The sequence below is a fragment of the Homo sapiens genome, chromosome 8 (assembly GCF_000001405.40).
Source record: "Homo sapiens chromosome 8, GRCh38.p14 Primary Assembly".
Classification (NCBI taxonomy): Eukaryota; Metazoa; Chordata; class Mammalia; order Primates; family Hominidae; genus Homo; species Homo sapiens.
In genome coordinates, this window is record NC_000008.11 from 37,142,485 (window position 1) to 37,158,777 (window position 16,293).

A 16,293-nucleotide genomic window follows, 5' to 3' on the forward strand; every position below is an offset into this window, starting at 1 on the left:
CCCGTATTCTCAACCTAGCTGAAGGGACGTGGACTATATGACTCCACGATTCTCTTGCCTTTGTCGGGAATCCCAGCAGTTGGGAACACGCAGATAAATATTAAATATGACCTAGTCGTCACAGTGACCTCTGTGGCAGTGAAGGGAGATCTATTACTTCAGCCTCTCTAACAGAAGCTTGCAACCTTGATCTGTTTGTCCGCCTGTCTGTCCAGCTGTCTGTCTCTGTCCCACCACTTTCTAGGCTGTGATTGGGTCCAGGGATTACAGCGGCTCTGGGTGGGAAGCTTGTAAATGACAAGTAACAGATGCTCTGCCAAAAAAGTGATCATACCAGAAATGGACTAAGTTAAACCAGACTACATCCACCCACCCCATCTCACCATGACCCCACACCTCAGGAAGGAGGAACGCCTTAGAAGGCTTTGTATAAACGAAGACAGGGCTGTGCACACTTCCCACTCAATGACTCATGCATCATGGAATTAGAGGCCCCAACCATGCACTCATAAACAGCAAATGGAAAACAAACACACTGAGCACGCCCACAAGTGTCGTTTCCTTCCTCCTCCCCGCCTCACCTACACACTCCCACCATCCAGGCCCCAGGCCTCTGTGCTGCAAAGTCCAACCGGGGGGACTCTGTGAATGCTGGGATGATTAACGCAAGCTGGCTGCAAGAAGGAGACCCCCAGGATGAGGGATGCCACTGGATCTGAGATTGCCCTGGGACTCAGGATTTTTCCCACACAGGGAGATCATCAGAGAGAAACCTCCTCTTTGCGTCAACTACAATCACAGACAACTTTTTCATTATATGACACATAGACATGGTATGCTTGCAGCCATAATGACATATAATCCCTAAAACATTTTTATGAGGTGAGTGGTATTAGCCTCACTTTACAGGAAATGAATGAAACCTAGGCTCAGAGATAGGCTGGAGGCCACACAGCACTGAGGGATGATCTGCCTCCAGAAGAAAAGAATTTCCACTACTCCATGGGAGAAAAGGCAAATTTGTCTGAGTGCAAACTCACATCATATCAGCCTCTCTGACCCACTCAGGACTGCTTCCCAGTCAATGGTCAAGGAAACAGGCAGGAGCCTCCACCTCCTACATCTACCCCACGCCTGCCTTAAATATTCTCAGGAAGCCAAGAATTCACTTCCCTTCCCTCCACCCAGGCAGGCAGGGCCTATATTGGGCTGGAATGCGAAGGTAGCCAGGGAAACAGAGCCCATGGCTAGACGTTATCAAGGGCCTGCGGCCTGCATGGCTCCTTAAGAGAAACAGGATGGGTGGAAGATGTTCATTATTCAGATCCTCATTAACAAAATTATACTTACCTTGAACCTGCTCCTGCAGAAAACAGACTGGGATGGAGTCCATTGCCTCACCTTTCCCCAAGCAATGATGCTCAAATGGAGGTGGCAGGCCTCCTCTCTGTCTCATTCCCCATCTCTCTATTCCAATCCCGCTCTTACTATGTGAATAAAAGATGGCCTCATCTAAAAAGAAAGAAAAGAACAAGCTTAGGGAAGAAAATATCTAAAATAAAAGGATTCATCCCAGCAAGAATACCTGGAAGCCTCATGGCTAGCAATGCTTTAAAGAGAAACAAACTTTTATTATTCAGTTAACAAATGAAAGCTTTAAGTCTTAGCAATGTACTGGCCAGGAGGGAATGTGAAGATGAAGAAGATACTTTGCTTGTCCTTAAAGAGTCCTACTGGGTGTTTCTCAGTGCCTTCCAGGGACAGTTGCTGCACACTCATCACACACTGACACGCGCCCTCTGCCTTGACTGTTAGAACTGGAGCCAGAAACACAAATATGTGGATTCTGGAACTGGAGTCAGAAAAAAATGTGGAATACAGAATTCTCACAAGGCCCCTTTTGGCGTTATTCTCTAAGCCAACATGGCACCAAATTCCTGGAAACTGCTCCAGAGTACCTTCTCCTACACCCTTACTTAATTTGCCAAAACCCTGTGGCACATCAGAATCTGCCATGGGGTTTTGCAGAGGCTGAGTAGTGGGCTGAACTCCCCATTGCACTCTGACCAGATAGTACAGCCCCTTCTTCATCTATCAGTTAGACTCAGAAAGCCGTCATGTTGAATTTGGAGGAACGGTTTTCCCCTGGCAAAATAGAAACCACTTTTGAAAACCACTGAAGAGGTTATCTGAGCTATTTTCCAGCTCTGATATTTAGTGACATAGGATTGTTTTCTGTGATTAAAAGTCCACTTGTGTAGGGTCAGTGCTCACCGACAGATTTTCCCAAAACTCTCCTTACCTCCTGCAGGAGATTGTCATCATTGAAGGAAAATAGCAGAGCCAAGCCCCTCAGTTGCCCGGACCCATGTAACTGACAGTGGCTGACTCATTCAACAAATATTTACTGAGAACTGCAGCATGACAGCAGTGTGCCAGCTGTTGACTTCGTGAGAATTGAGAATCGGCTCCATGGAAACTCCCCACAGCCCGGGGCTTAACAGCACTTTAGGTCAGGTTGACCTGGTCTCCAGCCTGGGCTCATTGTCTGTGCAACCACTGAAGGTTGCTCACTCATTCTGAGCCTCAGTCTCCTTGTCGGTAAGAATAATGTTGTGAAGATCCATGACAGTCTTACTGAGTAGCGTAGTGAGTGTGAAAACACATAGCACATACTAAATGCTCAAAAAAATGTCATGATGACTACTGTCATAAAGTTCAGTTGCTTACTATCTCTCCCCAGAACTATCTCAACTCTCTATAAACTGGTATCTCTGACTTCCGTTATCACCCTTCCCCTTCATCTTCTGATTGGGCCAGAGGGATGGCTCTTCATTCTTACTCATGCTTGAAGGCCAAATTCAAATGTCATCCCTTCTGCTAAGGCATTCTTAATTCTAAGACGCAAAATTAAACTTTGAGATTCCCAGTGCATACTTCTGTTTTTTCCGTTATAGCATTTGATACATTATATACATTGATTTATGCAGCAAATATTTATTGAGTGTCTGCCAGGTGCCAAGCCTTGCTCTAATCCCCAGGGGATACATCAGAGACACCTAGACAATTGCTTGTTTGTGTCTCAGTCTCTGATCTCCCAGTCCCCACAGGGTGAGAAAGAAGGAAGCGGCATTCCTCGGCTTAGCTACATGTCTCAACCAATGTGTTCAACGCGAGTTTTCTCAAATGGGCAAGCGAATCTGATAGCTATACCTGTGGTCACTGGATCTGCAAGAGTGGATGTACAAAAGCTGCCTTCCTACTGTGGTTTGAGAATCCACAGGCGGCTGGAAAAACCTTGAGTTGCTTCTCACAACCCATGGATTGCGTCATCCCAGCCTTCAGCTCCACACCCTGCATCTGCGGCTAGGAACTGAGGCAGGAGAGAAAATCAGGGAAGAAAAAAGAAGGCACGGTAGAGGTTAACACAAGTTTTAAACTTTAAAATTTGATGAACGGCTAGCGGCCTATGGAGACCTACAGGAATCCTAAGTTAACATCAGGTGCACACACCTGGGGCCTTGTGTTTGGTCCAGCCACTTGGATCATGCCCATGGACAAGCCCCTGGGAGAGACTGCAGCTCCAGACTCTTCCAAGAAGACATTAGCAAGGATTTATATTTCTGCTCCAGCCCCCTCTCACCTTCTGGCATTTGGAAAAGACGTCATAGGAGCCAGCCTGGCCACAGGGGAACAGCAGCAAAAGTGGGGGACAAACAGAACAAAGAGAGGTCAGCTGATGTGCAACAGCCCTCTCCCCAGAGGATTCCTCCTCTCACACTCCAATGCCATTTAAGGCAGAGCCAGGGAACAAAAGAATAACAGGGAATGAACTAAGTGGCTAAAATATTCCAATCCCCAAATCCCATTATCAGCTTGTTGCATTGCTGGGACACCTGTGGTTAAAGGCAGAGAAGCTGATGCAGCATCTACAGGAAACATGAGGCCAGCACAGGTCATGAGTCAAAAGCTTGAGGTGTGTGTTTGTGTGTGTGTGTGTGTGTGTGTGTGTGTTCTCATGTAGAGACACACAGTCAGGGAAGATGTTTCAGGTCTACTGTTTCCATTGTCCTTCTTCAGCTAAATAACAACTGATAGTAAGTTGGGGGTTGGCAAGAAAAAGGAAAAGGAATGAATAAAATATTGCCATGGGTGGCTTGAAGCAAAGCAAATCCAAGACCCCCCAAAGCAGCTCAGCTGCTCTCAGAGTTTTCTTAGAAAGGCAACCACCAAGAGTGGCATTCCAGCACCCTTCTGCTTGAGGGTAATAATGGGCACAGAGAGCTCTATCACCATTGCTTCCAAGGTGCAAGCGCTGCTCAGAAAAGATTCTTACCAAATCCTTCACGTTTCAGATAACATCTGTAATCTGATGTTACTTTTCACCTAGCTTTGTGCCTGATAGAGAGCAAGTACTTGGCACGGACTCATTGAATACGTGAATGAATGAATGAATGAGTGAGTGAGTGAATGAGATCAGGGGAAAGCTGTTTGCATCAGAAAACATTAAGGCTGAGTATGGAGGGGAGAAAGGGAGGTCATAAGGATAAGAGGCGCTGGAGCCACTGAGTTCTTAATCAAATAAATGGCATGGTATGGGTATGGCCCCTTTGTCATTTGCAAGTCACGAGGGGAGCTACAGATATATAAGACATCAGCCTGTCCTCAGGGAGCATATGATCCACAGCCAAGGGCCAACGTGTGCACAAATGATGGTGAACAAAAACAACAATGGTCACAAAAATCAGCACAGGGAAAGTGCCAGCAACAGAAGCCCCAGTAAGAAATAGTGCAGGACAAAATGTAGGTGTCAACAGCAAGGTCTTCTAAATTGCAAGGGCACTTTTATTTTGGACTCTGGCAGCAGGGCAGAGAGGCTCCAGGAAGTGCAGCACCCAAATATCCTTTCAGGTGGCAGGAGGACAGCTGGAACCCCTGGCACCACAAGGTACCTTTCCGTCCCCCATTTGCTTGCCAGTCCTGCCGACTCAAAGAGTCGGGCACTAATCGCAGAGGGATTTTTGTAATGTCTTTATATAGATGAGTTAATGTAAAGGCTTTCCAACATAAGCATGTTTTTCTGTTCCTTCTCTCTGACCTTGGCATTTTCTTTCTCCGTTCCAGGCTCAGCGCTGTCCTGTGGCCAGGTTTGCCTCTCATTTGTCAATGTTATTATTGAATTTTCAAATGCCAGTAGTACACATAAATCAATGGCTTTCTTCTCCCTACTGGCATATCCCTGCCACATGTGGTCATTCATTTTTTTAATAAGTCCTCCTCTCTTTTCACCCATTTATAAAAATGCATCTTGTTCCCCCACCACCGTCCATCACTCGGTGAGCCCAGCTATTTGTTGCCCCTGAGTGCTTATTCATCAACGTTTTCAAAAGCAAAATCACTCTTCGCCTCCTGCTCTTATTGTGCCATCAATCTTGACTGGAGGATCAATAAACTTCGCTTCTGCAATTTCCCCTCCACCCCTTCGGAGCTGACTCTCTCCAAAGTGCAGTCTTTTTATTTACATTTTTAACTGATCATCAGCAGAGCGGGGACGGCGGTGTCAGGGAAGCGAAGGGCTTTCATTTGCTCCCGAGGCAGCAATAACCATCCATGCATCGGTCATTTAACACGGTAACCCAGTGAAATTGATACTCGACTCTTCCCTGCCCAGGGTCCACCCGCGTAAATCATAACCAGAGGAAACAAAAGCCCTGCCTGAGCAGTGTGTCTTGCCGGCAGGCAGGCAAGGAACGAGGCTGAGTGACTCACTCTCTCCAAGTCTGGTTGGAGGAGAGGCACATGGTTTCCAGGAATTTCTTTGCATTGTTTTATATGTATTAAGGGAAAATTAAAATAAAAGGATCTGAAGTGTTGAGAAAGGAGAAGAAGGCTGAATTTAAAATGGGCAGACATATAAGGCCAGGCTGGCAAAGGGGCCTTGAATTGACTGGCTCATTAAATCTCCTCGAGGCTTGTAGACACATCGAGTTCACAGGGCTCTTGCCTGCTGTTAATGCTTGCAGAGAGATGGGCAATGTCCAAATTGCAAAGCTCCACGAAGCAAGTGAGTCGCCTATGAAGTCAGAGGGATTTTTGTTTAACCCGCCCTAAGAGCATTTCCTCAAGTCTGAACTAAAACACAAGTAAGATAATATGAATTTGACACCCCAACATCCACTGAGGATTAAAGCATGTTGTCTTTCTTGGTTTGGTTTTTCCATTACTATTTAAATTTTGAACTGCTTTAGGGCTTCCAGGTAGTGAGGTTGGCTAACCTAGTCAGGAAGCTTGCCAGCTGATCACTAAGTACTGTAAAGTGTTAATGGTACCCTCTCTCCCACCACTAGTGTTCTCAGCTTAATGAAGAATGATACAGATGAAGGGAAGCTGGGGAAAAGAACTCACCCCTTTTGCATACCTACCCTGCTCCAGGTGCTCTGCATCTGCCACCGTGCAGATTGTTACAGCAACTCACCAGGTAAGTTCTGTGCCCATGATTCAAGGCTGGGTAAATTGCCATACAGAGATTAAGCTATGGGCCCAAGCTATAAATTTTGAATACAGCTCTCTGATTCCGAAGTCTTTTCATTACCCAATACTATCTCAAGTCCTCAGGAGTCATCTGACTCGCACCAGGGAAGTCCCCAAAGGAGTTCTATGGAGAGTGCCTGTAACTGATCTAAGAGGACAGCCTCCTTTTCCACCCCCAGAGCCATCAAATTCCTGTCATAGGTTTTGGTGACAAAGGAAATTCAGGGTTCAAGAGTTAAAGCAGCCTCAGGAGTCTGGCATCCAAGACCCAGTAGGGCTGGAGGAAAGCAATGCATTGCATGATGGATGATCTATTCCAAAGTGGAGGTGGGGTGGCCACTGCTCTTGAGGAAGTTGCTTCCCTTTCCTGAGCCTCAGTTTTCTCACCTCTAAAATTACGGAGTTGGACTCCAGGATGCCTAAGGTCTCTCATAGATGTGAAATTGCTATAATCCCTTCAGTGTTTCCATTAGCATTTTCGGCAAAGGTACGTAGCTTGGAATACACAGAGCTGATCTGAGTATGGCATCTTTAGATATGAAGCCCTCACTGTCTTCAACTCTGTGGGGCCCAAGAGTGCCAAGATCAGAGAGAGTTTGCAGTGGCACTTTACAAATACATGCTGACTTCCCTCTTTAATCTCTTCAGTTATAATATGGGAGCAATCAGATTTGATGAAGACACTGCTTTGGGGGCTTTAGATATTTGGATTCATATTTTTGAATTTTAAGGAGAAGTAAAGTTTTGAAATAAAAATATAAGATGGGCCAGGCACGGTGGCTCACGCCTGCAATCCCAGCACTTTGGGGGGCCAAGGCGAGCAAATCACAAGGTCAGGAATTTGAGACCAGGCTGGCCAACATGGTGAAACCCCATCTCTACTGAAAATACAAAAAAATTAGCTAGGCGTGGTGGCAGACGCCTATAATCCCAGCTACTGGGGAGGCTGAGGCAGGAGAATTGCTTGAACTCAGGAGGCAGAGGTTGCAGTGAGCCAAGATGCACCACTACACTCCAGCCCAGGCGACAGTGCAAGACTCCATCTGAAAAAATATATATATCCACATATATATATAATATATATATACACATATATATCATATACATCCACATATACATGATATATATCATATACATCCACATATACATGATATATATCATATACATCCACATATATATGATATATATCATATACATCCACATATATATGATATATATCATATACATCCACATATATATGATATATATCATATACATCCACATATATATGATATATATCATATACATCCACATATATATGATATATATCATATACATCCACATATATATGATATATATCATATACATCCACATATATATGATAAATATCATATACATCCACATATATATCATATATATCATATACATCCACATATATATCATATATATCATATACATCCACATATATATCATATATATCATATATATCATATATGATAAATAAAATCTTTGGGGCCTAACATAGTGTTGTCAACTTTTTACTAGGCTACATGAGGGCAATAATAACTGATGACCTACTGTCACCATTTTATCACAATGAAAGAACATTTTAACTCCCCAACGTTAAAAAAGGAGGCAATCACTAGAGACACGTACCAGTCCACAGACTATCATTTAACAACTGGGCTAATCCCACTTACTTACCAAACTAAAAATGGTATGTTGTCCCAAGGAGCGAGACTGTGTAGTGAGGACCATGCTGATGATAATCTCATCTATGAGTTGCATGCTTAGTGCACAGCTCACTAATTAATACACACACATTACCTTGTTTTTATTATTAAGTACATAAATCTCTGTCCCTTCAAGGAGACTATACGTACCTTAAATACTGGGGCCATGTCTTCCCTTGGGTTTTTCATCACCAAGTAGAATTAATCTTGTTATTGGGTTGGACCTCTCTGAGATTGGAGGATGAGCTCATTTATGTGGCTAAACTGAGCAGATGGTAAGAGTGGGCTGAGGTGAAATGGAAAGGTTCCTGGAGGTCATGTCAGTTGAACCTATGAGATATACAAGCAGCCAGGTCCAGAGCTCTGGGCACAGCCCCTGGGCAGCTTGTCCAGCCACTTCCTAGTCCCCCTAGAGCCCACAGCTATCACTCGTCTAGACAGGGCTGCTGGGGGAATCACGGAACCGAGAGATAATAGAGATTCTGGCCAGGGAAATCTAGAAACACCACTGCCTGTGCCTTGCTTACCTTGTGAGAGTGATGTAAGGAGAAACAGGACCCTCAATCAATTACCGTCGGCTCCAAAATGGCTGACTTTAGCGAACACAGCAGAAGATGCTGGCTCATCAGCTCTGTGTTCTAAGTTAATCCCAGGAAAGCACTAGAAAATACACTACTTTGCCTGAACAGCAGCCAAGCTGTCAATCTTAGGGCTGCTTCAGTCCTGGGCACCAGGCTTATGTAACTTCAACTGTTTTGCTAATAGACCAGAAATAAACAATGAGTGACTGGTCATTTTTAAAAGCCAGCTCCCTTGCAAGGGAAAGAGAGAGAAAGCCAAGGGGCTGAGGGAGGAAGTGCCTGCCAAGGTAATAAATACAAACCAAAATCTCCAACATTTTGTGGTTTGACACTTAATTGATTAACTAATTTGAGGCAACAAGATTTAGTGTTCCTGCAGATTAGTGTCGAAGGGGTAATTATAGCAAAAGCTCCCATCTTCAAAGACCGTGGCTGCTGCAGCTCCTCACGGGCCAACGCTGCATTAAAGCCCACATATTATGACCCAGAGACACAAAAGGTTTTTTGGAACACGTCCCTTTTCAGCTCTGCGTGCTGGGCTTGCTCTGGAAAGGTCATTTGGTGCCTTATCAGCATAGACAAAATCCCCTGCCTATAATGTATGTGTTTATTCTCAAATTAAATATATTAATGTATTATTTGTTCTTAAAATGTCATGGAATAGATAGTGAGCTTAGCCGTCCTGGCAGACCTTTGAAGCTTAAAGAGTAATGTAATAATAGTACATTAATCCATAGGCCGTTCAGTCATCTCCCTGTGGAGGCCCCAGCCTCTGGTACATGCTCCAAAATGCTGGATTTTCTGCACATGTTCTTAAAAGTCTATTTCTTTAACAACAGCTGGCATGATAGAGCAGGTTTTACTGAAGCTAAGAAAAGGCAGGTACCTCTATTATTTAGGTGGAATAATCTTACCATGAACTTGAAAACAGGCAGTGACCTATGTGCTCCCGGGTAAAAAAAAAAAATTAGGGAAATTGGAAAGGGAGCCTAGAAGCAATAGAACTTTCTTTCTTTGCCAATCTCCTTTGGCCAAGTTTTCATAGGAAGCATGACTGAATGTGCTGTGTGATCCCAGCTTAGGGGCCTGGAGATCAGATTGGCCCAAGAGGTAGTAAATGCAACTGCAGTCAACACAAGCACACACAGGGCTTAGGTAGGGCCTTGGCTTGGTGCTGCCAGTCCCTCGATGTTGGGAGACACAGACATGAAGGAAAGTGGAGGCAGAAGATTTTAAACCCACACTTCCTTGCATCTGCTCCAGCAAAAAATAAACGGGTCTGCTTAGGTGTTATTGAAGTAATTCTACTTCTGTACTTGGACCACTCCATTATTCTTAGTTCTGGTTTTGTAGCCCCAATTCGATTGGACCTTGAACTGGATTCTAGTTGCATCTCCACTTCCTGCCTCATCCCAACCTGATATCTGTTGATGTGTCCACTTCCAGCTCTGACCTTGGGATCCAAGCCTATGTTTCATGAGTGTTCCAGGTTGAATGCTGGGCTACATCTTCACTCCTCTGGGTTTACTGTTGGGCTTCTCCATACCAAGTAGCTAAAAGTCTTAGGTAGGGTCCTCTGGAAGCTGACTCTAAGAGGTGCATGATTAATCAGAAAGCTATCTACCCCTAAGGAGGCAAGGAAAGCAGGATTGAACAGAGGGGAAGCTGATCTGAAATTAAGGCTTCAAACCAGTCCTGGAGCTTTGGATCTTGGAAGGCCCTTGAGAATTGTCCTAAACTAGGGAAAAGGGTCAGGTCTTTCTATCCCTGCACTTGTCAATCATTGGCCATCCCTCTGGGGAAGGTGCAACTTGGACGAAGCAGTTCCCTGGGCAGCGCAATTCCCAGCAACTATCCATCTGTCAGCAGCCAATGTTCCCAAGAGCCAATGTTCCCAGGAGCCAATGTTCCCAGCAGCTGGGGGAGAGGCATTGGCCCAGAAGAGGGGCTCTGCCCAGGAGAAACGTCACGGTATGCACTACTTGTAGCGCTCTCTCCTGTTGGATGCCTCCAGACTACCCTTCAGCCTTTTCCTGAGAAATTAACCAGCTTTCTATTCTAACCAACAGTTCTGTCCCTCTGCTGCCCTCTGGTGGCTACTGATACAACTACCCCCAACCAGTAAAGCCCCTTTGACCCCATGTGCCAAAGTGTGGGTCCATATTGCGCAATGTGCAGTGAGAATTGTTGACCACCAAGCTCTCCTTACAAGTCAGTGGGCACCAGCAAGATGCCGAGATGTCACTGACACTGAAGAGAGCCTTCTCTCCATGTTTTTCTTTCACTCTGTCAGCAAATGGAATTACATGCCCCTAGACCTTCATTTCTTTAAGTCTTGAAGGCTTTGGGGTCTTTAGGAGGTTCCTGATTAAGATAGATTACTCTTGGGATGGTGGCAACATTATTTCTTATTAAATAGTTTCCTGGTAGGATTCGTTGAGAGCACAACTTTCAGGGAATAGAATGTGAGATATGAGAATAGAGAGGAATCAGTTACAGATGTTCACTACTTGTGCATAGACAGAGCTGCCCGATGTTGATTGGATGGCATTCCCTGCTTTGCAAACTATGGGGAATATCTGTTTTTCAGGAGGCAAAATTAGGTATGATGTAAAGGGAGAAAGGATCGGAGTTACTGGATCTGTCTTCAATCCCCAGTTCTGCCACTTACTGAGTATGTAGTATTGCAATTAACACTACACAATCACTTATCCAGGGATCAGTTTCTGCATCTGCAAAATGTGATAATACCTACTCAACAAGTTGTTTGCAGGAGATTAAATTTGGTGCACATGTCAAATCACATTGCAAAGTGCTGTGTTATTCAATAACTACCAGAGCAATCAGAGACCAATTTTAAGACATTTTATGGTGAACCCCAAAATGTACTTCTTCAAAACACAAGGACCAAAGTGACTACTATATTTTTTTATGGAGTCTGGCTCTGTTGCCCAGGCCGGAATGCAGTGGCGTGATCTCAGCTCACTGCAACCTCCACCTCCCAGGTTCAATCGATTCTCCTGCCTCAGCCTCCTGAGTAGCTGGGACTACAGGTGTGTGCCACCATGTCCAGCTAGTTTTTTGTATTTTTAGTAGAGATGGGGTTTCACCATGTTAGCCAGAATGATCTCCATCTCCTGTCCTCGTGATCCGCCTGCCTCGGCCTTCCAAAGTGCTGGGATTACAGGCATAAGCCACCGCGCCCGGCCCTGAGTGCTGTTAATACAAACCTCAACCTGACATACCAAGTCTTCTGCGGATTCAGGTAAGTCCATCCAGAGAGGGAAAGGATTTCCCATAACAATCACTAAAAAACATGAATAACAGGCAGCTGTGAAGATAATTTAAGTGTAAAGATGCAAATGTTACTATGAACCTTGCTATACCTTTGTATATTCTCAAAGTTACTTACTGATGTGGAGGCAGGAGGAAATCTTTGGGGAATGGTGCACTCTTCCACCAGGCTTCAGGTAAAGCTGGGATGTGTGTCAGTTGGAACGCGGGCTGTGTGCTCACCCTAGAAAGGTCCACTGTCCTCAGCAAGTGCTTCCCAACTGGTGGGCAAACTGCAGTTTTGTTTTTTTTTTTTAATGTAGAAGATATCTCCGTGACAGAACTGAATCATCAGACTGTTGAGATGTATTGAGAAAATGTTTTCAATCAATAATGTACTTGAAACAGGTGAAGTTAGGGATGAAGTTATGTCCTTGGACTGGGTGTCTGGAAGTAAAATCATCACTGACAGTTCACAAGGATGCACCCAAAGCCCACCAGGTTATAGTGACATCACACCTCTCTAACACAGAATGGGATAGCAAGAGAAGGCTGTGTCCTCCCATACATAATCTTTATAAGAAATGTTGTAAATTAATTTTTAAAACTAACCCTCAAGTGTATATATGTACATATAACCACACATACCTATGTACAATATACAACCCCACATATGTCACATATATGCCCGATACTCAACTGACAACAACAAATATTAAGAATGCGAACAAGAATCAGGAAGAAGTAGGAAAATATGTCTGAAAATCTAAAATACATTATCACAAAATCGAGCTTCCAACGTGCTTATCTGATGCCTCACTCCAAATAGATGTCATTTTAAAAGTTAGAAGGAAAAGAAAATTTAAAACTGTCAGAAAAGTAACTGAAACTGAAAGATACTGAAAGAATAATGAAAACTGAAAGAAACTGAAAAATAATGCGTGTGTATAAGCGTGCATGCACATGTGTATGAAACAGTCATGGGAACTCAAAAGAAGCCATTTACAGTCAGGCCAAACACCTACAAGAGGTCCTGAAAACATCCTAACGTCACCATGCAGTAAAACAACTGTCCCATTAATGATGTTGAGGCAGTAGGAAGCACTTGACATATGTTTGGTGCAGGGTACTTTGTTTAGGCAGAAATGAAAGTGAATAATTTAGTTCAAAATTATATTCATTGATAATGCTTTTTTTAAGTTTGTATACAGAAGAGAGTAAAACTTCAGGTGTCATAAAAATCTACAAGTGTAGAGTATGTCATTTTCCCAAAGCTGGTGTGTGTGTGGGTGTGTGGGTGTGTGTATGTGTATATGTGTGTGTGTCAGAGAGAGAGAGAGAGAGAGAGAGAAACCTCCAAGAGCCCTACTTTTACCAAAGAGATGAAGAAATATCTTATGACTAGAACTGAAATGCATATTTCTGTAGATAAGTGAAAACAAGAGTAAATGCTGGTGCTACATCTGCTCCAGGGTCCACTCTGTTACCATCAGTGTTCTTAGAAAATTCCCAAATATAAGCAGTCACATGGAAATGACACTGTTTGTCAAGAGACAGGAAGCCGTTTTCATTGAATCCACAGACATCAGTGGATCAGATTCTTCCACAAACCATCTTCTGGATCTCAGTTTGTTTATATTTATTTATTTATTTATTTATTCAGCCAATAGGAAGATATGGGGGCAAATGTCAAATATTTAAATATTTTGACACTGACCATGGTGAGAGCTACAATTTTCATAGATTATTTCCTTTCTGAAGCAGCCAGCACAAGGACCCCAGGAAACAGCAGAGCTTTTGTCTCCATAGCAGTGACCAGACCTGCTTGTCTCAAAAGGGTATGGAAGGTATTAGTCCATATTCCTCACTTCTCCGCATCCACAGCCACTGGGGGGACTGAACTGAACTCCAGAGGAGCTGGGCCAACTAGAAAGTGGGGCCTATTAAAACACAGAGAATAGGGCAGCATTAGAGGGAAACTATTATCATCTTTTTCCCTTTTGCAGATTTTGCTGAACCTAGGCCTTGTATAATAATAGAGACTCCAGAATAATCTAAACCGAGGGCCATCCCCCAAGTCACTTTGCCAGCCAGGCTTGAAGAAGAGCTGTCCAGAAACAGCCAGGATTTCAACCCTGTAGCTGGCAGCAGGCACATCTACATGATGGCCGAGGGATAGGAGAGGAGTCTTTTCCCACATAACCCTTGTTCGTGGAACCATAAAGGTCACAGAAAAAAATACCAGGCTGAGATCCTTTCCTTCTGTTTCTGTAATGGTATTAGCAACGACTCTTTCTTACTCAATCGCACTCCCAAAGGATTTTCAATAAACTTTTTATGTGCCATAACTGTTACATTAAATAAAGCTGAAAGTATTGAGTAAACCGACTGTAAATCACTTTAGATGCCTTGGAATTACATTAAGTGTGAGAATTATAGATCTTTTGCTGCTTGCAGAAACAGAGAAACGACAGAGCCAGGGATTTTTGTGCTGCCAGCCTTTTGAAGATTTTTTAAATTATTTCTTTATGCTCCATGACAGCCATCTCTTGTAAATGACTTGTTCAGGGGCAAATGAGGGGCAGGGAGGGGAAGGAAGAGCAGTTGGGTTGGGGCTAGAAGGGAAAAGATGCCTGGCAAAGGGGAACACAGGAATAGCCTGGGATTTCTCTCCCTTTCAGACTCTGTTACTACGGGCTTGAACTTTTCGTTTTAAAAAACATTTTCAGGTTTGTACATTTTTAATGAAATGATGATGGATGTGGGCCAAACAGTGTTTTGCGGGGTGCGTGTGCATGTCCATGAACGTGTGCTTTTCCCTGGCTTCCGAAGCCTATTCCATTCCATTCTCTCCAGCTGTTATTTTTGTGAAGTTAAATCCCTTGCTTTTATGGTATTCCTGTTCAGTCATCTTCCCAAGGCCTTACAGGGTCAGGTCTGTGTTTTAAAGGGAATTGTCAGACTGCTGGAAATGGAGGAAGTTTGGAGGGAATGTTGATAAAAACGGAAATCTCTCAGACTGATGCTCCACAGTCCCTCCTTTGATGTCCAAGCAGGTTTGATTTTGTTTGGGGAAACAATTTAAGGCTGCTTTCCAACTGTCTGCATGGTTTTTCTCATCGTCCAGTCCCAGCAACAAACTAATAATCCGGGGCTGGTGACATCAAGGACTAATGCCACAGGAATCAAAGTGATGTCGGGAACTTACAGCCGGCTTCCCTTCAAGAAGAGCAGAGGCTAAAAGGAATCGACGTCATGCCAGACATGGGCGTGGCTGATGAATAATTCACAGAATTTCATAGAAAGGTCAGAGGCAGGGTTGTGGGGGGAGAAGAAGTCTCAATTTATGTGCCCCAATCTAACACTGGGAAGCATCAGAAGCCAGAGGATACCAGAACACTAAGCTAACCTGTGACCTATTAATTTATCTTATGTCAACTGCTAAAGACCATATTACTATGTTGTAATCTGTTATTTTTTAAAAAAATCAAAAAGTAAAAAGCTTTGCTTCAGCCAGTCCATGGATATGTAAGTACTGGGGACTAGTATGTCACTCCTGTGACCTGGGCTCATAATTGGAGCTGGGGAGACCAGATAACCTCACTGCAAATAGCAGAAAGCAGTCAAAGAGGCAGTGAAACACAGAGAGGATTTGATAGTATAAGTCATAATGCTGCAGGAACTTGGAGAGGGATATCGATCAGAGGGAGCAGAAGTATTCATGGAATAGGAGCTACCCAAGCCTGTGCTTATTGGATGGACTCTTCTATAGCTTATGGAGAAGTTTCAGAGGAAAGAAAGCAGCAGTGAGAAGTGAATGGCTGCAGGATGTTGAGGGATACAGAGGGGAAGGAGAAGGGAGCCACTGAAGCCAGCAAGGTGGGGTGGGGTGCAGGGATGCCTTGAACACCAGGCAGATCCTGTAGGCCCAAGGAAATAGAGCTTTCTCTAACAAGAAAAAGCAAAGAAATCAATGTTTATGTGAATTTCTACCAACATTCTGGCCACTGGCCATGGCACCAGTTATAGCAGCCTTGGCCAAGAATTGCATCTAAGCCAACAAGAGGCTAAGGTTGAAATGGAAAGGGCTCTTGCTGGAAAAGCCTGTGAGAGAGACCAGACCACAACACTGGGGAGGCAACAGAGGAAGAGGAGTAGGAGAGAAGGTGATGCTGCCTGTTCCCCAGCCCTTACCT

The 16,293-nt window shown here is 44.1% G+C and overlaps 5 annotated features.

Moving 5' to 3' along the window:
* Nucleotides 264–1,463: an enhancer, noted in NCBI's record as "P300/CBP strongly-dependent group 1 enhancer chr8:37000266-37001465 (GRCh37/hg19 assembly coordinates)". NCBI's record gives its function as "activates an origin of replication core promoter dependent on BRD2, BRD4, P300/CBP, MED14 and CDK7 cofactors, with strong dependence on P300/CBP, by STARR-seq in HCT116 cells {active_cell/tissue: HCT116}" and the evidence as "EXISTENCE:reporter gene assay evidence [ECO:0000049][PMID:35650434]".
* Nucleotides 2,287–2,581: an enhancer, noted in NCBI's record as "tiled region #9155; HepG2 Activating non-DNase unmatched - State 8:EnhW". NCBI's record gives its function as "activates a minimal TATA promoter and a strong SV40 promoter by Sharpr-MPRA in HepG2 cells {active_cell/tissue: HepG2}" and the evidence as "EXISTENCE:reporter gene assay evidence [ECO:0000049][PMID:27701403]".
* Nucleotides 2,323–2,572: an enhancer, noted in NCBI's record as "active region_27223". NCBI's record gives its function as "activates an Ori minimal core promoter by ATAC-STARR-seq in GM12878 lymphoblastoid cells {active_cell/tissue: GM12878}" and the evidence as "EXISTENCE:reporter gene assay evidence [ECO:0000049][PMID:35858748]".
* Nucleotides 12,989–13,038: an enhancer, noted in NCBI's record as "active region_27224". NCBI's record gives its function as "activates an Ori minimal core promoter by ATAC-STARR-seq in GM12878 lymphoblastoid cells {active_cell/tissue: GM12878}" and the evidence as "EXISTENCE:reporter gene assay evidence [ECO:0000049][PMID:35858748]".
* Nucleotides 13,179–13,258: a silencer, noted in NCBI's record as "silent region_19105". NCBI's record gives its function as "represses an Ori minimal core promoter by ATAC-STARR-seq in GM12878 lymphoblastoid cells {active_cell/tissue: GM12878}" and the evidence as "EXISTENCE:reporter gene assay evidence [ECO:0000049][PMID:35858748]".